Source organism: Homo sapiens, chromosome 4 (assembly GCF_000001405.40).
Source record: "Homo sapiens chromosome 4, GRCh38.p14 Primary Assembly".
NCBI lineage: Eukaryota > Metazoa > Chordata > Mammalia > Primates > Hominidae > Homo > Homo sapiens.
In genome coordinates this window covers 174969983-174993337 of record NC_000004.12, presented here as the reverse complement: position 1 = coordinate 174993337, position 23355 = coordinate 174969983, and the positions used below count along the sequence as shown (strand labels likewise).

The following is a 23355-nucleotide window of genomic DNA, read 5'->3' as shown; positions in this document are numbered from 1 at the left end:
AATGTGAAAAGAGAGACTGGTTTAGCCTCCTAGCCTACATCTTTCTCCCATGCTGAATGCTTTCTGCCCTTGAACACTGGACTCCCAAGTTCTTCAGTTTTGGAATTCAGACTGGCTCTCTTTGTTCCTCAACCTCCAGACTGCCTATTGTGGGACCTTGTGAATGTACGCTTTAATACTTAATAAACTCCCATATACATGGGTTACATATGTATGAGATATATATAGAAATGTACATATACATATAAAGTGGAATATATATTCCATTAGTTCTGTTCCTCTAGAGAACCCTGACTAATATAGATTTTGGTACCAGAAGTGGTTCTAGAAGAACATAATATTAAGGATGGAGTTCTTTCATTGGTTTGGAGGTTTCTGGACTTGGCTGCTTAACACGATTAGACCCAAAAATGCTAAGGACTTTACGTCTAATAGTAGGGAGAACACTGATAGTTCTTGACATGAACTGTTTAGAGCGTTATGCAAAATAAATGCATGTGGCACTCCTGATTCATCACTCGTGAGAGGCAAGGAATTTAGTGACACAATAACTTTGACCATATGTGGAGAACCAAGGAAATAATGATGTTAGTTGGTTGCTCCTAAGTTCAGTGGACAAAGTGATGAAAGAAAATGATGAACTCAGAGATTCTATCTCCCAGCTTCAGTAGGGAAAGAGCTGCAATTATGGAATAACAGACACAAGTTCTTATCATGCAAGTGGCTGACCTGCAATGAAGGGTGCATGCATAGCCTCACCAGGTGTCTACTGTTAAAGTGAGGGCATTGATTAGAAAAGAATGGGACCTTGCAACTTGGAATAAGAACGTGTAGGAGGACCCTGTTGAAGCTGTGAACACTGAGTGTAAACTCTGATGAACCCTTTTTGTCATAAGAAACAGCTTCCCCATCCTCAGTAGTGGCAACATCCCCTCTCCAACCCGTGCTGGCATCAGCTTTTTCACCTTTGTCTGAGGAGATAAACCCTGTGCTGACTGAGGCAACAGTGGTGGCCTCCTCTGAGGCAGTTGCCAAGCAAGATAATGTTGATTCTCCTCAGGAGCCACTTCCAACACTCCTGTTTGCTTCTAGACCTATAACTAGACTAAAGTCCTGAAGGACCCCTAGAGGTGAGGTTAGAGTGTGACCCATGAGGAGGTGTGCTATACTCAAAAAGACCCACTTGAGTTCTCTAATTTATATAAACAGAAACCTGGAGAACAGGCATGGGAATGGATATTAAGGGTGTGAAATAATGTTGGAAGGAACATAGAGTTGGATCAGGCTGCATTTATTAATTTGGGCCCACTAAGTTAGGACTCCACATTTAATGTTGCAGCTTGGGGAGTTAAAAAAATTCTAATAGTTTATTTGCTTGGTTAGCTGAAATACGGATTAAAAGATCACCCACTGTGAGCAAGCTGGAAATGCCTGATCTGCCTTGGTTTAATATGCAGGAAGGGATCCAAAGGCTTAGGGAGATTGAGATGGTGGAGTGGATTAGTCACTTTAGATCTACTCATCCCAGCTGGCAGGATCCAGGAGATATACCCTTGACTGATGCCTTGTGAAATAGATTTGTGAGGACAGCACCTGCATCTTTGAAGTGCCCTGTAATTGCTCTTTTCTGTATGTCAGATCTAACAGTGGGAACTGCAGTCACTCAACTACAAAATTTAAATACAATGGGAATAAATGGATCCCGAGGTGCCAGGGGCCAAAAGGCAGCACTCAACCATCATAGCCAATGTGGGCATAGCTACCATAATAGACAGCAGAGACAAAACAGCAATCAGAATAGTCTGACTTGTGTAGAGCTCTAGCATTGGCTAATTAACAATGGTGTTCCTAGAAGTGAAATTGATAGGAAGCTTACTGCATTCCTACTTAATTTATATAAGCAAAAAACTTCTAGGTGGAAGGGATGAAAGAGTAATTTGAATTATAAAAACAGAGAATCATGGCCTCAATCAATTTCCAGACTTGGGGTTCCTGTTTACAGACCCAGAACCCCTTGAATGAAGGGGAGTCTGGGTCCCCTTGAGGAAAGATCCCACTACATTACTGACAATTATTGCAGTGAATCTTTCTCCAATCATTTCCCAAGGAGACCTTCAGCCCTTTACCAGGGTAACTGTGCATTGTAGAATGGAAAGAGTTCAGACATTTTGAGGACTACTGGACACTGGCTCTGAGTTGACGTTGATTCTAAGGGGTCCACAAACTTCACTGTGGTCCTCCAGTTAAAGTAAGTGCTCATGGAAGCCAGGTAATTAATAGAGTTTTAGCTCAGGTCCAACTTACAGTGGGTCCAGTGGGTCACCAGACTCATCCTGTGGTCATTTCCCCAGTGCCAGAATGCACAATTGACATAGACATACTTAGCAGCTGGCAGAGCCCCCACATTGACTCCCTGACTGGTAGGGTAAGTTCTATTATAGTTGGAAAGGCCAAATGGAAGGCTTTAGAGCTTCTACCTGGAAAAATAGTAAAACAAAAACAGTAACGCATCGCTGTAGGGATTGTGGAGATTAGTGCCACCATCAAGGACTTGAAAGTCGCAGGGGTGGTGATTCCCAACACATCCCCATTCAACTCTCCTATTTGTCCTGTACAGAAGACAGATGGATCTTGGAGAATGAGAGTGGATTATGGTAAGCTTAACCAAGTGGTGATTCCAACTGCAGCTGCTGTACCAAATGTGGTTTCATTGCTTGAGAAAATTAAAACATCTCCTTGCTGGGAACAAGCCCTAAGCCTGTCATAAGCAGGCCTTAAAGAAACTGGCCATAAACAGGATTTCTGCAGCAATGTGACAAGCTCGTGGTGGCTATCACACATACTGCTAGAAGTTGTTGGTTTACTGCAGCAGGGCAAGGAACACCTGGCCCGCCCGGAGCGGAAAACTGCTCAAACTACAAATAATGGCAGGAGCAGCCTGTACCTTAACAATATATTTTTGCTGCAGATAATCAGCCAGAGCCTGTTTCTCTACTCCTCACTAAGAAAGCTTTGTTTCCTGTAAGGAATACTTTTAGTTAATCTATAATCTATAGAAGCAATGCTTATCACTGTCTTGCTGTCAATAAATATGTGGGTCAAACTCTGTTCGTGGCTGTCAGCTCTGAAGGCTGTTAGCCCCGATTCTCACTTTGCACTCTATTTCTGTGTCTTTGGCTTCAATTCCTCTAGCACCACTGGGTTGGGGTCTCCACAACCGAGCTTGTCTCGGTAAGTGGCGTCCAACGTAGGGGCCTGAACCCGGGTTGAAGCATCGCCAGAGTGATGGTTGGAGAACGTGGAACTATGCTGGAGGACACCCAAGTACTCTTAAGCAATCTCCGTGGTAAGTAAGAAGAGGAACTCAGAAGCACCAGGGTAACAATGGGACAAGGGTTGAGCAGGCACAAGGCTTATTTGAGTCTGCTTTGGAAGCTCCTCAGAAAAGGGGGAGTGAAAGTTATCACTAGCTGACTTACACAGCTTTTTAGTGCAGTAGAGAAATATTGCCCCTGGTTTCTGGACTGAGGAACTATGAATGTAGAGGTCTGGGAAAATGTAGGCAGCACACTGAAAAAGGCATATAAGGATGGTGCTGAGGATATTCCTATAACTGTCTGGTCAGTATGGGCTCTGATTCGTTCAGCCTTGGAGCCTTTCCACACAGATGATGAGGAGAAGGAATCAGAGGAAGAAGGAGAGTATAATGAAGTACCAGAGCAGGTTTGCTTGCCAACTAAAGCGGTAAAGGAGGGAGAGGTTTGTCCCTACTCCTCTGCACACCCTCATTATTTTGAAGAAAAGGAGTGGCCTGACCCTCCAGATCTTTCTTTTCCAGAGGACACTGGGCAACAAGTAGTTGCCCTAGTGACTGTTCGAGCAGCGCCTCAAGCGACCACTCTCAGTTCTATTCAGGCAGGAATCCAGCAAGCTAGACGAGAGGGTGATATAGATGCTTGACAGTTCCCTGTTAGAATACATAGACCTGATCAACAGGGGAATATTATAGCTACATTTGAGCCTTTTCCTTTTAAAATACTTAAATAATTTAAACAAGCTATTAATCAATATGGACCAGGTTCTCCTTTTGTAATGAGACTGTTAAAGAATGTTGCTGTCTTCAGTCAGATGACTCCTACTGACTGGGGTGCTCTTACTTGAGCTTGTCTAACTCCTGCTCAGTTCTTACAATTTAAAACTTGGTGGGCAGAGGAAGGTTCCACTCAGGCTGCTCACAATGTCCAGGCCCAACCTCAAATTAATATAACTGCAGACCAACTTTTGGGGGTCAGCGGCTGGGCTGGTTTAGATGCACAAGTGGTCATGCAGGATGATGCCATAGAGCAGCTTAGAGCAGTGTGCATTAGAGCTTGGGAAAAAAATCACTTCAGGAGGAGAACAATACCCTTCCTCTAGTGCTGTCAAACAGGGACCAAAAGAACCGTATGCGGATTTTATAGCTCAGTTACAGGAGTCTCTTAAAAAGGTGATTGCAGATTCAGCTGCTCAGCATATAGTGTTGCGGTTATTAGCTTTCGACAATGCCAATCCTGAGTGCCAAGCCACTCTGCGACCTATTACAGCAAAAGCACATTTAGTTGACTATATTAAAGCTTGTGATGGTTTTGGAGGTAATCTGCATTAAGGCTACTCTGCTAGCCCAGGCAATGGCAGGACTGAGGGTGGGTAAAGGAAATACCCCATTTCCTGGAGCTTGTTTTAACTGTGGGAAGCATGGTCATACCAAAAAAGAATGTAGAAAAAATCAGCAAGTCAGGCCGCCAGTTGGGGGAAAAAAGAAAACTGCTGAGTCTGAAATATGTCCAAAATGTAGAAAAGGAAAACACTAGGCTAATCAGTGTCACTGTAAGTTTGATAAAGATGGGAACCCAATTTCAGGAAATGCCATGAGGGGCCTGTCCCAGGCCCCGGTTCAAACTGGGGCATTCCCAGCTCAGGCCATTCCCTCACCCCTGTACAATGCCTGTCCCCCACCACAACTGGTAGTGCTGCAGTAGATTTATGCTGTACAAAAGCTGTGAGCCTTCTGCCTGGGGAACCTCCTCAAAAAGTGCCAACAGGAGTCTGTGGACCCTTGCCAGCAGGGACAGTAGGATTACTTCTAAGCAGGTCTAGTTTAAATTTAAAAGGGGTACAAGTGCAAACAGGAGTCATTGATTCAGATTACAATGGGGAAATTCAAATTGTTATATCTACTTCTGTTCCCTGGAAAGCAGGGCCAGGAGAGCGCATATCACAGCTCCTGATTGTGCCATATGTGGAAATGGGGAAAAGTGAAACTAAACAAACAGGAGGATTTGGAAGCACTAATAAACAAGGCAAAGCAGCTTATTGGGTGAATCAAATTACTGATAAACGTCCTACCTGTGAAATAACTATTCAGGGAAAAAAATTAAAGCATTGGTAGATACAGGAGCAGACATTTCAATCATTTCTCTACAGCACTGGCCATCCATGTGGCCAATTCCACCCGTTCGATTTAACATAGTTGGAGTTGGTAAAGCCCCTGAAGTATATCAAAGCAGTTATATTTTGCATTGTGAAGGGCCCGATGGACAACCTGGAACTATTCAACCAATTATAACTTCTGTACCTATAAATTTATGGGGAAGAGATTTATTACAGCAATGGGGAGCACAAGCGTTAATTCCAGAACAACTATATAGCCCTCAAAGTCAACATATGATGCATGAAATGGGGTATGTCCCTGGTATGGGATTAGGAAAAAATTTACAAGGGTTAAAGAAACCACTTCAAGCAGAAGGACAGAATCCTCATCAAGGTGTAGGATATCATTTTTGATGGCAGCCATTGTTAAGCCTCCAGAACCTATATCTTTAAAATGGTTAACAGATAAGCCAATTTGGACAGAACAATGGCCGCTGAGTAAAGAGAAACTGGAGGCTTTAGAGGACTTAGTTACTGAACAATTAGAAAAAGGACACATAGCTCCAACATTTTCCCCCTGGGATTCTCCAGTCTTTGTTATTTAAAAAAAAAAAAATCAGGTAAATGGAGAATGTTGACAGATCTTAGAGCCATTAATTCAGTTATACAATCTATGGGCGCTTTGCAGCCAGGATTGCCTTCTCCTGCTATGATTCCAAAAAATTGGCCTTTAATAGTCATGGATTTAAAAGACTGTTTCTTTACTATCCCTTAGCTGAGCAAGACTATGAACGGTTTGCATTTACAATTCCTGCGGTAAACAACCTGCAATCTGATAAGCATTTTCATTGGAAAATGTTGCCACAAGGCATGTTAAACAGTCCAACAATTTGTCAGACTTATGTAGGACAAGCAATTGAACCTACTCATAAAAAATTTTCAAATTGTTACATTATTCGTTATATAGATAATATTCTTTGTGCTGCCCCCACTCGGGAAATATTACTCTAATGTTATGATCACTTGCAAAACTCGATTTCTCATGCCAATTTAATTATAGCTCTTGACAAAATTCAGACTACTACCCCTTACTCCTACTTGGGGACCTTAGTAAATGGCACTACCATTGTGCCACAGAAAGTAACCATACATAGGGATCAACTGAAAACATTAAATGACTTTCAAAAATTACTAGGGGACATTAATTGGATACAATCTGCTCTAGGCATTCCTACCTATGCCATAAGTAATCTATTTTCTATCCTTATAGGAGATCCTAGTCTCACTAGCCCTCAGCAATTAAAGGAGGCTCAGGCAGAGTTACAGCTGATTGAGAAGCAAGTGCATAAAGCTCAAATAAATAGAATAGATCCAGAAAAGACTTTAGACTTATTGATTTTTCCAACTCAGCATTCACCTACTGGTGTTATTGTTCAAGAGCAGGACTTGGTAGAATGGCGTTTTCATCCACATACTAATTCACAGACTCTAACTCCTTATTTGGATCAAATTGCTACTCTGATAGGAAATGGGAGAACTCAAATTGTTAAATTACATGAATATGACCATGGAAAAATTATTGTCCCTCTTACGAAGGCACAAATACAACAGGCCTTTATAAATAGTCTTACTTGGCAAGCCCATTTAGCTGATTTCATAGGTGTTCTTGATAATCACTTTCTGAAAACAAAATTATTTCCATATTTGAAATTAACTCATTGGATTCTCCCTAGAATAACTAAATTTAAACCAATTGAAGGTGCTGAAAATGTTTTTACAGATGAATCTAGTAATGGTAAAGCTTCTTATTCTGGATCAAAAAGCAAAGTTTTCCAGACATCCTATACTTCAGCTCAAAAAGCGGAGCTGGTAGCTGTAATTGAGGTGCTGACTGCTTTTGAGATGTCTGTTGATGTAATTTCTGATTCTTCATATGTGGTTCATTCTACACAGTTAGTTGAAAATGCTCAGCTACGATTCTACACAGATGAGCAACTGATGACTTTACTTACCCAATTGCAAACAGCAGTTAGGAGTACAATGTACCCTATTTACATCACTCACATTAGGGCTCATATATCTCTTCCAGGACCTTTGACTGCAGCGACTCAAATGGCTGATTGTCTAGTTGCTACTGCATTATCTAATGCTAAACACTTTCACAATTTAACCCATGTTAACACCTCTGGTCTCAAACACAGATACAGCATAACCCAGAAATGAGCTAAAGCTATTATCCAGTGATGCCCAACTTGCCAAATGGTGCATTCCTCATCTTTTACAAGAGGAATTAATCCTCGAGGATTGGAACTTAATTCTCTTTGGCAAATGGATATCACTTATGTTCCTTCCTTTGGTAAATTGGCTTATGTACATATATGTATAGATACATTTTCTCAGTTTGTTTGGGCTCCTGCCAAATGGGAATCTTCTGCCTATGTTAAATGGCATCTTCTGAAATGCTTCACAGTCATGGGCATTCCAGATTCAGTTAAAACGGACAATGCCTCAGGCTATACTAGCCAAGCTCTAGCTACATTTTTCTCTGTAAGGAATATTAAACACATTACTGGCATCCCATATAATTCACAAGGACAAGCCATTGTGGAAAGAATGAATCTCTCCCTAAAACAGTAGTTACAAAAACAAAAAGGGGGAAACAGTGAATATGGGACTCCACATATGCAATTGAATCTAGCATTATTGACTTTAAATTTTTTGAGCCTATCTAAAGGCCAGATGCTATCAGCAACTGAACAGCATCTACAGAAACCAGCAGCAAAGACAGAAGCAGAACAACCGGTTTGGTGGAGAGATCCAATAACAAAAAGTTGGGAAATAGGTAAAATAATATGGGGTAGAGGTTATGCTTGTGTTTCTCCAGGCCAAAACTAGCAGCCAATTTGGATACCATCAAGACACCTGAAACCTTATCATGAGCCAGATGCTGAGGAAGAGATTTGGGAGGCACCCCGAAGACTCCCCAGTTGCAACCATGTCGAGACTGATAATGAGGCCTCTTTCCTGCTTGTAGTGGGTGATTTAAAACTTGATCTCACTAATCATCATGTGACTTGTTAATAATGTATATTGTCTTCTTGTGTGAATTCTTCCTTGTATAATACTGATCATTCTATTTTAGCGGTAAGAGCCTGAGAAGGAGTATGGATACCTGTAAGAATTTCCCATCCTTTGGAAGTCTCTCCTTCTGTGCATATTATTACTGAAATTCTTCAAAAGATTTTGAGGCGCTCTTGGTGTTTCATTGCTACTTTAATTTTAATCATTATGTGATTGATTGCTGTCACAGCTACTGCCATGGTAGCTGGAGTTTCTTAGCATTCCACAGTACAAACAGCAGACTATGTAAATAATTGGCAGAAAAATTCTACTCTTCTGTGGAATTCCCGTCTGGGAAGTGAGGAGCGCCTCTTCCCAGCCGCCCTGTCTGGGAGGTGAGGAGCGCCTCTGCCTGGCTGCTGTGCAATCTTCCAAGTGTGAAGTGACAGCATTTCTGGAGGTGTACCCAACTGCTCCAAAAAGACAGCAACCATCGAGAACGGGCCATGATGACGATGGCAGTTTTGTCGAAAAGAAAAGGGGGAAATGTGGGGAAAAGAAAGAAAGATCAGATTGTTACTGTGTCTGTGTAGAAAGAAGTAGACATAGGAGACTCCATTTTGTTCTGTACTAAGAAAAATTCTTCTGCCTTGGGATGCTGTTAATCTATAACCTTACCCCCAACCCCGTGCTCTCTGAAACATGTGCTGTGTCAACTCAGGGTTAAATGGATTAAGGGCGGTGCAAGATGTGCTTTGTTAAACAGATGCTTGAAGGCAGCATGCTCGTTAAGAGTCATCACCACTCCCTAATCTCAAGTACCCAGGGACACAAACACTGCAGAAGGCCGCAGGGACCTCTGCCTAGGAAAACCAGAGACCTTTGTTCATGTGTTTATCTGCTGACCTTCTCTCCACTATTATCCTATGACCCTGCCACATCCCCCTCTCCGAGAAACACCCAAGAATGATCAATAAATACAAAAAAAAAAAATTTTTTTTTTTAAATTCTACTCTGCTGTGGAATTCCCAAACTAATATAGACCTGAAACTAGCTAATCAAATCAATGATCTCCGATAAATTGTAATGTGGCTAGGAGATCGAGTAAGTAGTTTAGAATATAGAATACAGTTACAATGTGACTGGAATACTTCTGATTTTTGCATTACTCCTCATTTGTATAATGAAACAGAGCATGAGTGGGAAATAATTAAGAGACATTTAAAGGGTCATACTGGAAATTTATCTTTGGATATTGCAAAACTGAAGGAACAAGTATTTCAAGCCTCTCAGGCACATCTGACGCTAATGCCAGGAACTGAAGTGTTTGAAGGAGCTGCAGATGGATTAGCAGCTATTAACTGGTTAAAACGGACCAAGACACTCGGAGGCTCTGTGATTTCAATGATGATTGTGCTTTTAATTGGTGTTGTCTTTGTGTAGTCTGCAGATGCGGATCCTAAATTCTGCAAGAAGTAGCCCACTGTGAAAAAGCTGCCTTTGCCTTTATTGCTTTGCAAAAACAGAAAGGCAGACATGCTGGGAACAATCCCTAAGCCTGTCACAAACGGGCCTTAAAGAAACTGGCCAGAAACAGGATTTCTGCAGCAATGTGACATGCTCTTGATGGCTATCACACACACTGCTAGAAGTTGTTGGTTTACTGGAGCAGGGCAAGGAACACCTGGCCCACCCGGAGTGGAAAACTGCTCAAACCACAAACAACAGCAGGAGTGGCCTGTACTTTAACAATATATTTTTGCTGCAGATAATCAGCCAAAGCTTATTTCTCTTCTCCTCACTAAGAAAGCTTTGTTTCCCGTAAGGAATGCTTTCAGTTAATCTATAATCTATAGAAGCAATGCTTATCACTGCCTTGCTATCAATAAATATGTGGGTCAAACTCTGTTCATGGCTGTCAGCTCTGAAGGCTGTTAGCCCCCTGATTCTCACTTTGCACTCTATTTCTGTGTCTTTGTCTTCAATTCCTCTAGCGCTGCTGGGCTGGGGTCTCCTCGGCTGAGCTGGTCTTGGTATCTCCTGGTACCTGATACACAGCCATTGAATTGGCAAATTTGTTTTCTCCATTCCTGTCCAAAGCCCCACCAGAAGAAATTTGCCTTCAGTTGGCAAGGCTCACAATATACCTTTACTATTCTACCTAAGGGGTATGTCAATTCTACAGCTTTGTGTCATAATCTTATTCAGAGATACCTTGATCACTTTTCACTTCCACAAGATATCACACTGGTCCATCACATTGGTGACATTATGCTGATTGGAGCCAGTGAGCAAGAAGTAGCAAACACACTGGACTTATTGGTGAGATATTTGCATGCCAGAGGATGGGAAATTAATCTGACTAAAATTCAGGAACCTTCTACCTCAGTAAAATTTCTAGGGGTCCAATGATGTTGGGACTGTCGAGATAATCCTTCCAGGATGAAGGATAGGTTGCTGCATTTGGCCCCTCCTACAATCAAAAAAGAGGCACCACACCTAGTGGGCCTATTTGGATTTTGGAGGCATCACATTCCTCAGTTGGGTGTGTTACTCCAGGCCATTTATCAAGTGACCCGAAAAGCTGCAAGTTTTGAGTGGGATCCAGAACAGGAGAAGGTTCTGCAAGAGATCCAAGCTGCTGTTCAAGCTGTTCTGCCACTTGGGCCATATGACCCCACAGATCCAGTGGTGCTTGAGGTGTCAGTGGCTGATAGGGATGCTGTTCGCAGCCTTTGGCAGGCCCCCATAGGTGAATCAGAGCAGAGGCCCCTAGGATTTTGGAACAAGGCCCTGCCATCTTCTGCAGATAACTACTCTCCTTTTGAGAGACAGCTCTTGGCCTGCTACTGGGCTTTGGTGGAAATTGAATGTTTGACTATGGGTCATCAAGTCACCATGTGACCTGAACTGCCTTTCATGAACTGGGTGCTTTCTGACCCATTTAGCCATAAATTAGGTCATGCACAGCAGCATTCCATTATCAATGGAAGTGGTATGTATGTGATCGGGCTCAAGCAGGTCCTGAAGGCGCAAGTAAGTTACAAGAGGAAGTGGCTCAAATGCCCATGGTCTCCACTCCTGCCACCCTGCCTTCTCTTCCCCAGCCTGCACCAATGGCCTCATGGGGAGTTATCTATGATCAGTTGACAGAGGAAGAGAAGACTAGGGCCTGATTCACAGATGGTTCTTCATGATATGCAGGCATCACCCGAAAGTGGACAGCTCTAGCACTGCAGACCCTTTCTAGGACATCTCTGAAGCATAGACCTGAAGGGAAGTATTCCCAGTGCACAGAACTTCAAGCAATGCACCTGGTTGTGCAATCTGCATAGAAGGAGGAATGGCCAGATGTGCAATTATATACTAATTCACGGGCTGTAGCCAATGGTTTGGCTGGATGGTCTGGGACTTGGGAGAAGCATGATTGAAAAGTCGGTGACAAAGAAATTTGGGAAGAGGTATGTGGATGGAACTCACTGAGTGGTCAAAAACTGTGAAGATATTTGTATTCCATGTGAGTGCACCAACAGGTGACCTCAGCAGATGAGGATTTTAATGATCAAGTGGATAAGATGACTCTTTCTGTGGACACCACCCAGCCTCTTTCCCCAGCCACCCCATCATCACCCAATGGGCCCATGAACAAAACGGCCATGGTGGTAGGGACAGAGGTTATGCATGGGCTCAGCAACATGGACTTCCACTCACCAAGGCTGATTTGGCTAAGGCCACAGCTGGGTGCCCAATTTGCCAGCAGCAGAGACCAAAACTGAGCCCTCTATTTGGCACCATTCTTCAGGGTAATCAGCTAGCTCCCTGGTGGCATGTTGATTATATTGGACCTCTTCCATCATGGGAAGAGTAGAGGTTTGCCCTCACTGGAATAGACACTCCGGATATGGATTTGCCTATCCTGCATGCAATGCTTCTGCCAGACTACCATCTGTGGACTCACAGAATGCCTTATCCACCATCGTGGTATTCCACACAGCATTGCCTCAGACCAAGGCACTTACTTTACAACTAAAGAAGTGTAGCAGTGGGCTCATGCTTCTGGAATTCACTGGTCTTACCGTGTTCCCCATCATCCTGAAGCAGCTGGATTGATAGAATGGTAGAATGGCCTTTTGAAGTCACAATTACAATGCCAACTAGGTGACTATACTTTTCATGACTGGGACAAAGTTCTCCACAAGGCTGTATGTGCTCTGAATCAGCATCCGATATATGGTACTGTTTCTCCTGTAGGCAGGATTCATGGCTCAAGGAATCAAGGGGTGGAAGTGACACCACTCACCATTACCCATAGTGATCCACTAGCAAAATTTTTGCTTCCTGTTTCCATGACATTACGTTCTGCTGGCCCAGAGGTCTTCGTTCCAGAGGGAGGAATGCTGCCACCAGGATACACAACAACGATTCCATTAAACTGGAAATGAAGATCGCCACCTGGACACTTTGGGCTCCTCCTACTTTAAGTCAACAGGCTAAGAAGGGAGTTACAGTGTTGGCTGGGGTGATTTACCCAGACTATTAAGAGGAAATCAGTCTATTACTCCACAATGGAGGTAAGGAAGAGTATGCATGGAAAACAGGAGATCCATTAGGGCGTCTCTTAGTATTACCATGCTCTGTGATTAAGGTAAATGGGAAACTACAACAGCCCAATCCAGGCAAGACTACAAATGACCAGACCCCACAGGAATGAAGGTTTGGGTCACTCCACCAGGGAAATTAAAAAAAAATAAAAGGGCCTGCTGAGGTGCTTGCCAAAGGCAAAGGGAATACAGAATGGGTAGTAGAAGGTAGTCATCAATACCAGCCATGACCACGTGACCAGCTGCAGAAATGAGGACTGAAATTGTCATGAGTATTTCCTCTTTCTTTTGTTGAAAACGTTTTTGTGCATGTATACACTTGTACTAAGAAAATATCTTCATTTTATTTCTTTTCTCATTTATCATGTGACAAGATTTATTGACTTCATATCAGCATTTAAGTATTGTTAATTTTATGTAATAGTATTTGGATTGGAGATTGGTGCGTTTCCAGTTGTACAAAGGATAGTTGTATTATTTTAGGCATAATTATGACTGTATTATTGTCTTTATTTGAAGATTATGCATGATCTCAAGAGATGTGTATGGGTTCAAGTTGACAAGGGGTGGACTTGCAATGGTTATTACTGTCAATTTGATTGGATTGAAGGATACAAAGTATTGATCCTGGGTGTGTCTGTGTGGGTGTTGCCAAAAGAGATTAACATTTGAGTCAGTGGGCTGGGAAAGGCAGACCCACCCTTAATCTGGGTTGCCACAATCTAATCAGCTGCCAGCACAGCTAGAATATATGCAGGCAGAAAAATGTGAAAAGAGAGACTGGCCTAGCCTCCCAGCCTACATCTTTCTCCTATGCTGGATGCTTCCTGCGTTCAAACATCAGACTCCAACTCCTTCAGTTTTGGAACTCGGATGGGCTTTCTTTGCTCCACAACCTGTAGATGGCCTATTGCGGAACCTTGTTATTGTGTGAGTTAATACTTAATAAACTCCCCTTTCTCTCTCTCTCTCTCTCTCTCTCTCTCTCTCTCTCTCTCTGTGTGTGTGTGTGTGTGTGTGTGTGTGTGTGTGTATTCCATGAGTTCTGTCCCTCTAGAGAACCCTAATACACCATTTCACCATTGATGGGCACCTAGGTTGAGTCCATGTCTTTGCTGCTGTGGATAGTGCTGTGCTTCATGGCATTTTATAACCAGAGGAACCCAGAAGTTGAAAGAGAACTGTTATTATTATCCCACCTTATTTTGAGGTAAACTGTCTATAAGTTTAAGTAATTTTCCAGAGACAGTGAAGGGCAATGATAAAAAAAAACCCTGAAAATTAAAAGTAAATTTTAAAAAATAAAGCATAAGATGCCTTCTCACTCCTGCTTCATCCTTATATCAAGATTAGTACTATAAAGAGCTTAGTCAGAAAAAGGGAAACCACATGAGTGATTTTGGAGGGACATAATTAAATATAAGTAATTGGGTAAACAGCAATTGAAGAACAGAACAAGTTAAGGTAGACACCACGCTACTAATTGGCTACTAAATATGAACTACTAATTGCAAAAAAATGATTCCATTCATGAAGCTAAGTAGCAAATGGAAAAGACTGGAGTTAGCTGAACCTGGAAGATGGTAGGACTGGCCCCATGGATCTCACACTCAGAATTCTAACAATAGGTATTGCTCAGCCAGTGCTGGAAGTTTGAGACATTTGCATAGAGCTCAAAGAACTGGAATCCAGAACCCTGAGTGTAACACAGCAGACAGCAGACAATGAAGTTTTTCTGGAGTGAGTTTTAAAAAGTAGGGGGAGATTAAAATCAAGTATTGTTACCAGTGTAAAACCTATTATTCAGGAAATACTGATAAACGAAGAAAACAGATCTCCCAGATTTCTAATTTCCTATTCTTTCTCCCTGTTGCAAAACTCTATAGGATGAGGTCTGGTTTAGCAGAGATACGGTTCCTATAAAGTAGAGTGAAAAAGAAGAAAGGATTTGGAAGCTGAAAGACAACAAGTTAAAAATTGGTATGCCACACATATGCCATGGCTTTTTTAGGAAATACAAAGTGTCAAGTTTTTCAGAAAAAATAAACGTTCAAATTATTTAAAACAATGAAGAGTAAGTAGAAACATACTAGGAATTATTTTTTTAATGTACCTTTTCTGGATACAGTTTTTGGAATTGGTACTGATTGCTTTTGTTTACCACTTTTACTCCGGTAAGGTGTCACATGAGGTTGACTCTGGGAGGGTGTCACCCGAGGTTGGCTCTGGGAGGGCGTCACAGGAGGTTGACTCTGGGAAGGCATCAACTGAGGTTGGCTCTAGGAGGGCGTCACAGGAGGTTGACTCTGGGAAGGCATCAACTGAGGTTGCCTCTGGGAGGGTGTCACAGGAGGTTGACTCTGGGAAGGCGTCAACTGAGGATGACTCTGGGAAGGCATCACAGGAGGTTGACTCTGAGAAGGCATCACCCGAGGTTGACTCTGGGAGGGTGTCACAGGAGGTTGACTCTGGGAAGGCATCACCTGAGGATGACTCTGGGAAGGCGTCACAGGAGGTTGACTCTGGGAAGGCATCACCCAAGGTTGACTCTGGGGAGGTAACTCATGAGGTCGACGCTGAATTTTTTCCTCTTCTTTTGCAGATGGAGTTTGAACATCTTGCTGCTTTTTTATTGGTTTACTTTTTTTACAAAGTCGATAAAGACAACATAATAAAATAAACAAAACAATAAGCAACAATATACACAGATAACAGAACTTCTTTTTCTTCTTTCTCTTAGGGGGTGGGCCACTGTCAACACTACCTCCATAGCCTTTTATCAGGCAGTTGGGAGGGTCCCACAGATAATTGCAATGGCAGTGATGTTTATTGTTGCAGATGCCCCTCTTGTTACAAAATGCAGGTGAGCAATTACTATTCAAGATGGTTATATGGACACAGTGCCTGTGGATGCATATATGATCTATCCCACACTCTGTTCCATCTTTCACTTCACCAATATCAGGTCCCTTCATCCCCAAATGGTAATCAGTACTCCAGCACATTATGTCATTGAAGCGAGCCCAATGCACAGTAGTATGATCACTCATATTGGGAATTTCTGTCACATTCTCACACTGAATTCTTCCACACTGGACATCTGAGATATTACACTTTATATATGTAGCATTTTTGATACCACAGTGACCAACACGGTCACCTAAGGTGTTCAATTCTTTGTAGCAAGTCTCACTTGCAGTATTTGCGCCTGCACCAAAAATCCTCCTACACTGTTCATTGCGGTCATGACAGCTCTTTTCATAGCAGTAGCCCCTCTCCTTACAGGGAATTCCATCTTCCACATAAAAGTCATCTGGGCACTTATGGGAAGTACCATTGCACCACTCTGGAAGATCACATTCATTGACCTCCTTTCTACACACTTTCCCTGATGGTAGGAACTTGCAGTCTTTGCAACAAAGCCCAAAAGCACAAGTAGAACCATCAGTCAGAGTGCAATTTGACAGACAGCAGGGATCTTTTGCACAATGCTTTAAAGGTCCACAGTCACACTCTTCTCCTTCTTCAACAACACCATTCCCACAGCGCTTCACATTAAAGATGTCCTTTGTGTGTACTGTTTCAAGCAAACACTTTGTCCTCTCTACAGTATATTCCCAAAAATCACCATAACTACAATTGCTAAATTTAGTTATTGGTGGGTTGCCTTCATGCATTATGCATCTAGGTTGTGAACAACGACATGTATCCTCATCATGGTTCATGCCCAAATTATGACCTAGATGATGAGCCACTGCAATTGAAAAAGTGCCCAAAGTTTTGTTCATGAAAGTAACAATTGCACAACTACGGTGTGGTGTACACATTCCTCTAAAAGCTCCTATGCCACTTAACCCTCTTAATCCTAGAGTTGTGAAAAGATGTGAGGTGTCATGTTGCATCCGGGGCGTAATGTTCTCCGACTTCCACTTGCAATACAGGTGCACAGATTTCCTTACATCATCTACTACAATGAGGTTTTTATTGGTCCAGATCTCCAAACCAAATAATAACACCTTAACACCAATGACATCCAAAATGGAATCCACTATATTAACAATAACATATAGATCCTCCAGCAACTTTGAGTCGTTCCTTTCATAACGAATGTACAGATAATTATCAATGACGACTACAATTTCAACAATCCTAAAATGGATCCACCAGCCCACATAAGAACTTTGCTTCTGAGTGGAATTATCAATTTCTTCAAATTCCATTCGGCATGTTATTTCATTTTGCATAAATCCGGATCTCATGGTTGAAAATTGTTTCTCCTCACTGTCCATCTTGTATACCAGATGTTCAAACGTGGTAGAAAATGCTAGGGGCTTGATTTCATAAGCAAAGTCATTTATCTGTAATATTCCTTGAAAACCCCCAAAACAGGTACTGAGGGAAACCAGGGATTCTGGGTCCCCTTCCACATAACCATGATAGTAGCAGTTATTCTGGACAAATGGCTGGTCCTCAAGGATAGCACCCTGGTCTGTGTAGGTGAACACAGGGAGGTGTTTGGAAAACAAAAGCTTCTTGACCTTTATGTGGATAATGTGTTTCTGGCCTCCAAAGGGCAGGATATAGGAGAGCCAGCCTGGAGGTGTCATGCCTCTGGTGGTGCCAGTTATCCTCACAGGAATCACCACATCCGGAGGGCTGTGATATTGGGGGTGCTCATCCTGGATGTGTCCAGAACAGGACAGAAACACCCCAAGGCAATGCAGCAGGAGTAACATCTTCATGTTCAAAAAGGCTTCAAATCACAGTGATTTTGAAGTCCCTGTTATGGAAACACTGGTCCAGAGCAGAAGTCAGGGCTGGAGTCACAGGTGGTGTGGCTCCTTCTTCTGAGTTGGTCAGTGTGTAGTGCTAATCATTAAAGATCCATCTTTTGGCAGAGTTGAACCATCAGAGCTGCAGCACTATAAGTAAAACAAAAAGCAGCATGTGGATGAGTGTACAGAAATTCTTCTTATAAGAGAATCCAGTGGGGAAGAGGAGAAAGAGAAAAAAACATGAGATAAAAGTGATTAGTGCTTTCATCAAGGAATGACTCAAAAAATTGCCTAGAATTTGCTCTGAAATATTGATAGGGAAAAGGGAATAGGGAGTGTACAGAAAATAAAACTTGGCCATACACAGATAGTTATTGAATATAAACGGTGGGAAATTGATTCACTATACAGTTCTTTAAATATGTAATTATTTGCAAATATTTCCACAATAATTGAAACAAAATTTTTTAAGGGTAAGCTGAACTTATATCTTCAATTTCTGAGACAGTTTCAATTTACACGTGTTAAATTGTCATAAGCATTAATAGATTTTCTATTCCATTTCAGATGATAAATTAGTTGAAAACATTATCTAAGAGACATTTTTAAAAACCATTCTTATGTTATTTTAAATTTTTGGTTCTTATCATATACCTTTCTATGGCACAATATTTATTTAATTTTCTGTTTCTTCGCTAACTTCCTCTTCTCACTAGCCTTGTCAGCAGGAAGATCCTCAAGAGCATCATTTGCATCTTTCACAAATATTAGTGTCTCATATAATGCCTGGTTTAATTCTTTATGTAATAAATAATGGTTGACTTGAAGCTGATTGTTCTTGGAGTGAAATAAGTATTACTCAAAATATGTTTACACTTTATTATGTTTTTAAAGAAGAACATTATTCAACATCTATGATAAATGCATGCTCTGGAACAAAGTTTTGTAGTTTCAGTTTTTCCTTATCCTTCGTTCTAAATACAATTTAATACTCTGAAACAAGTCAATGGACAACAACAAAAAGACTCTGAAAACTCATGGACATAGAGAATAGAAGGATGGTTAATAAAAAGAAAAATTCTGACTAGTGACCTTTGGACTTGAGGAAGGTCAGTTATCTGAGTTTCTTCTTATCTTTCATGTATATCCCAAACTGGGTGCTAGACAGATCTTTAACCCCAAACCTCCAACAGGCATAGACAAAAATAATAACAATAATAGCTAAAGAAAAGCTTTCACTTTCTGGCCAAATGACTAAGAATGGAAAAGCTCGGCAAAGACATGGGGAGTTGCTCCAGCCCCTTCTTTAGAGTCAGGGAGTCAGGACACATGTGTGTGTTGATTCACCCACAGTGGCCATTTCAGACTTGGCAGGCCCACCAAACACAGTCCACATTCAGTGCACTGGTGGGCTGTCCATTCCACCCATATTGGCAACATCACAGCACTGGATGACTAACCTAACCGTCATTCGATAACCAGGTAACTAGCTAACTGATCTGCCTTCAGAGGCATCAGTGAAGGCCTACCTAGCTGATACAACCCTGCTGTAGAATAAGGCCAGTGAAATGCAGCCTGAATGAGCCACAGAAGTATTATCCATCAAACTTGATATTTCCTAGCCCTCTATCAAATGACATAGGAAGACCAAAGCCTCGTTGTTTTTGTTCCTTCCATCTTCAGGCGTCAAAGTGGCCCAATGACTTGAATGGCCTAGAAAGGGCCTTCTGCCCCAGATGGCACCAGCAATGATTGAGCTGAAACCCCTTCAGAATTAAAAAAGCAAAGTAAAGTATAATAATATTGAAAGAGCTATCAAAATTAAACATTTTTGGAACTCAGCCCACAAAAGCACACCAGAATATAAATACTCTAAACATAGAAAGGCAACTATCTTCTAAAATAGAAAGTTTAAATAGGATCAAGCATCTCCTACAGAGTGACATCAGCAAAACGGCAGAGTGGGAAGTTCTGCACCGTCCTACTCCCCAGAACATATTTCAACAACAATTTGAACAAATTATCTTTGTAAGAAATTCTGAAGCTAATTGAATGACTACCACATCCTGGGAAAATGAAAAATCAGAGTTACCAAAGTTGGTAGGGAGATTCAGAACATCCTCTCAGTGGAGTCCCTGTCCCCAGTGTACTGCCATACAATCAGAAAGAGAACCCCTAGTTCCCAGCTTCACCCAGTCATTGGAAGAGATTGATTTGTGTCCAGTACTCCAAAATTTTTAAAGGGGCTTTATACACGAATTACGTCTGTCAGTTGGAGCTCTGACTGGTCTACCACAATCTAGCTTTCTGCAGAGGATGGAGATGGTGGTTTCATCTGGTGGATGCCACAGACCCTGCCCCCCCATAACCCAACTTCTTGGCATACAGTAAGCAGATAAGAAATCTCAGCTTTCAGCTTCCTGCTGTGGAGGAAGAGTGCTGATCTGTGTATCTGACACTCCAACTTTTCAATGGCTGCCTGAAGATCTAGCATCTATCTAACTAGTTTTAGAGCTCGAATGGGTCTGGCACAGTCTAGACACCTGTGGGAGAATGGAGATGGGGCTTGAGCTGGTAGACAGCATAGATCTTCCCTACTTCTCAGTACATAGAGAGCAGACAAAAAATTCCAGCTCTCAGCTTTCTCCTGGGATTGGGAAGGGTGTGGAAGACTTGACTGGTGCATCCAACACCCAAATTTCTCCAGGGCTCTCCAAAGAACTGGCATCTTACTGACCAGTCTTAGAGCTCTGAGAGGCCTATCACAGTCTAGCCACCAGGGAAGAAAATAGATGGAAGCTAGTGCTGGTGGACACCATAGATACTCCCTCCTGCTCAGCACAGAGCAAGCAGAAAAAATATCCCAAGTGTCAGCTTTCTTCTAGAGAAGAAAAGAATTGATCATGAGCCCAGCACCCAACCTCTCCAGGACTACACAAAGAACTGGTAAGAGACTTGCCACTCTTGGATCTCTGATGGGTCTGGTACAGTCTAGACACCTGGGATAAAAGATTAATAGAAATGGTAGTTTGGACTGGTTGATACAATAGTTTCCCACCCCAGGTCAGCACAGAGGAGTAGACAAAAATCACACCTGCTTCTTTTCATGGAGAGAGAGAGTTATTAGAAGGACTAGAATCTCTGGCTTTGCTGGTTGGTGGAGGTTTCCTCCTATACAAGGCTAGTCTGTAAAGACTGAGAGATGACCTTCTGTGTCTAATGTGCAAATATCAACACAGATAACTAAGGAAAACGTAGAAACAGGCAAAGATGTTCCAAACAAAGAAAGAAGAGATAAATCTTCAGAAACCAACCCTAATGAAACATCATTATATGATTTACTTCATTTAGAATGCAAAATATGATATAAAGATGTTTATGGAGGTCAAGAGAAAAATGCAGGAAAAAAGTTAGAATTTCAACAAAGCCATAGAAAATATTTTTAAAGTACCAAAACAGAAATCTTGAAGCTGAGGAACGCAATAACTGAATTAAATTATTTAATAGAGAGCTTCAGCAATGGACTAGGCGAAGCAGAAGAAACAATCAGTGAACTTGAAAACATATCATTGGAAATGATTCAGTCAGTAGAGTAAAAAGAACAAAAATGAGTGGAGAAAACTTAAGAAACTGATAGGACCTCTTCAAGGACACCAATATAAGCATTAAGGAAGTATCAGAGGAGAAGAGAGAAGGGGCCAGAAAGCCTATTTAAAGAAATAATGGCTGAACACTTCCCAAATCTGAGGAAGGCAATAGACATTCAGATCCATGAAGCCCAAAAGTTCCCAAATAAGATGAACTCAAACAAATCAACATTGAGACACATTGTAATCACATTGTAAAAAGTCAAAAACAAAGTGTATTTTGAGATAAAGAGAAAAGTAACTTGTCATATAAAAGAAAATGTCCATGAAACTATCTGAATTTTCAGCAGAAACCTTGCAGGCCAGAGGGAGTGGGATGATACATTCAAAGTTCTAAAAGAAAAGAAACTGCCAACCAAGAACACTATACCTGGCCTTTAATAGTGGAGGAGAGATTAAAAACTACTTAAAATAAACAAAATCTGAGAGAGATCATCACCAATAGTATATTACCTGTCTTAGAAAAAATGCTAAAAGGAGTTCTTCAAGTTGAAATGATGGGATACTAAACAGCAACACCATAGCATAAGAAAGTATGAAACTTGACAATAAAGGTAAGTATAGGGACAGATACAGATATTGCATTACTGCAATAGTGGTGTATAAATGACTATTATTTTTTATTCATTACAAATATGTTATTGTACATATTTAAGGTATGCAACATGATGTTTTCATATACATATACATAGTGAAATGATTACTACAGTAATAATGACTTTTAATTCTAGTATAAAAGTCAAAAGACAAAAGTATTAAAAAAAGAAATAAAATATGTTAAAAGAGACACAATATGAATGGATGTAAATTGCAGCAACAATAAAATAAAGTGTGGGGTAGGGTGTTAGAGCTCCTGTGTGTGACTGCAGAGATTATTCTAGAGTTTCTGTGTGCTATTGAACTTATCAGCTTAAAATAGACTATTAAGCAGTTTTTAAAATAAAGACAAACAAAATTCATAAATGTTAGCTAGATAAAGAAAAAAAGAAGACTCAATATCAGAAATGAAAGAGGCAACATTACTACAGATGCCACAGAAATAAAATGGATCGTAAGATAACACTATGAAAGGGATTTTCATGGAATGTTTTGGCAACAATATAGATTTTAATACTACCATAGCATGTTTATTTTTCTTTTAGCTTTTCTATTAGTTTCCTATGGCTGCTGTAAAAAATTACCACAATCTCAGTGTCTTAAAGCAACACAAATGTATTACCTTATAGTTCTGTAGTTCTGGAGGCTAAAATGAGTTTCATTGGCCAAAACGAAAGTGTCAGCAGGACTGAGTTTCTTTTTGGAGGTTAAAAGGGAAAAACCTGTTTCTCATTCCTTTCCAGCTTCTAGAAGCCACCCACATTAATGGCTCATAGACTTATTCCTTCAATTTTCAAGGGTGGTTTGAGGTAGCAGGTCAAATCATTCTCATATCACTTCATTTTGACTCTGCCTCTTCTGTTTCCCTCCTTCGCTTATAAGAACCTTTGGAATTGCATTGGACTCACGGTATAATACAGGGAAATCTCCCTATTTTAGGGTCATCTGATTCACAACCTTGATTCCATCTGCAACCTTAATTCACTTTACCATGTAAATTGGAATCTTTGTCGGTTTCAGGGATTAGGACAGGAACATTTCTGGGAGACAATTATTCCACCCACTTCATCCTCTTTATTGTATTCATCTTCTTAATAACTAATCCTATTGTCTTTTAATCTGTGTATATTCTCTTTCTGTGAATTTTTCTTCCAGGAATGTAGGGTCCATATTTTTTTTTCTTGTACCTATCAAGGTGTTGTAATATAAACATGGTGTCACTTAACAGTCAGTGAGGATGTGGAGACAGGTGCCTTCTAATACAGA

At 41.2% G+C, this 23355-nt stretch overlaps 1 protein-coding gene and 1 long non-coding RNA gene across 13 annotated transcripts in view; one reads left to right on the top strand and one right to left on the bottom strand.

The window, feature by feature from the left end:
• The first annotated feature begins 9322 nt into the window (after positions 1 to 9322).
• LOC124900871 (uncharacterized) lies at positions 9323 to 15056 on the top strand. The gene is made up of 3 exons (XR_007058495.1): positions 9323 to 14000; positions 14168 to 14280; positions 14957 to 15056. It is a non-coding gene; the product is annotated as an uncharacterized LOC124900871 (long non-coding RNA).
• Positions 15057 to 15157: 101 nt separating this feature from the next.
• The window catches only part of ADAM29 (ADAM metallopeptidase domain 29), a 59823-nt gene continuing 51625 nt past the window's right edge, over positions 15158 to 23355 (bottom strand). For 10 of the 12 annotated variants that reach the window (NM_001278125.1, NM_001278126.1, XM_011531557.2 and 7 more), the window contains one exon: positions 15158 to 17992. In NM_001278125.1, coding sequence (NP_001265054.1) covers positions 15350 to 17812 — 2463 coding nt within the window. In that variant the 5' untranslated portion in view covers positions 17813 to 17992 and the 3' untranslated portion in view covers positions 15158 to 15349. Of the gene's footprint in view, positions 18042 to 23355 lie in introns of all 12 variants that reach the window. The other 2 variants (XM_011531559.2, XM_011531561.2) reach the window with 1 other exon arrangement.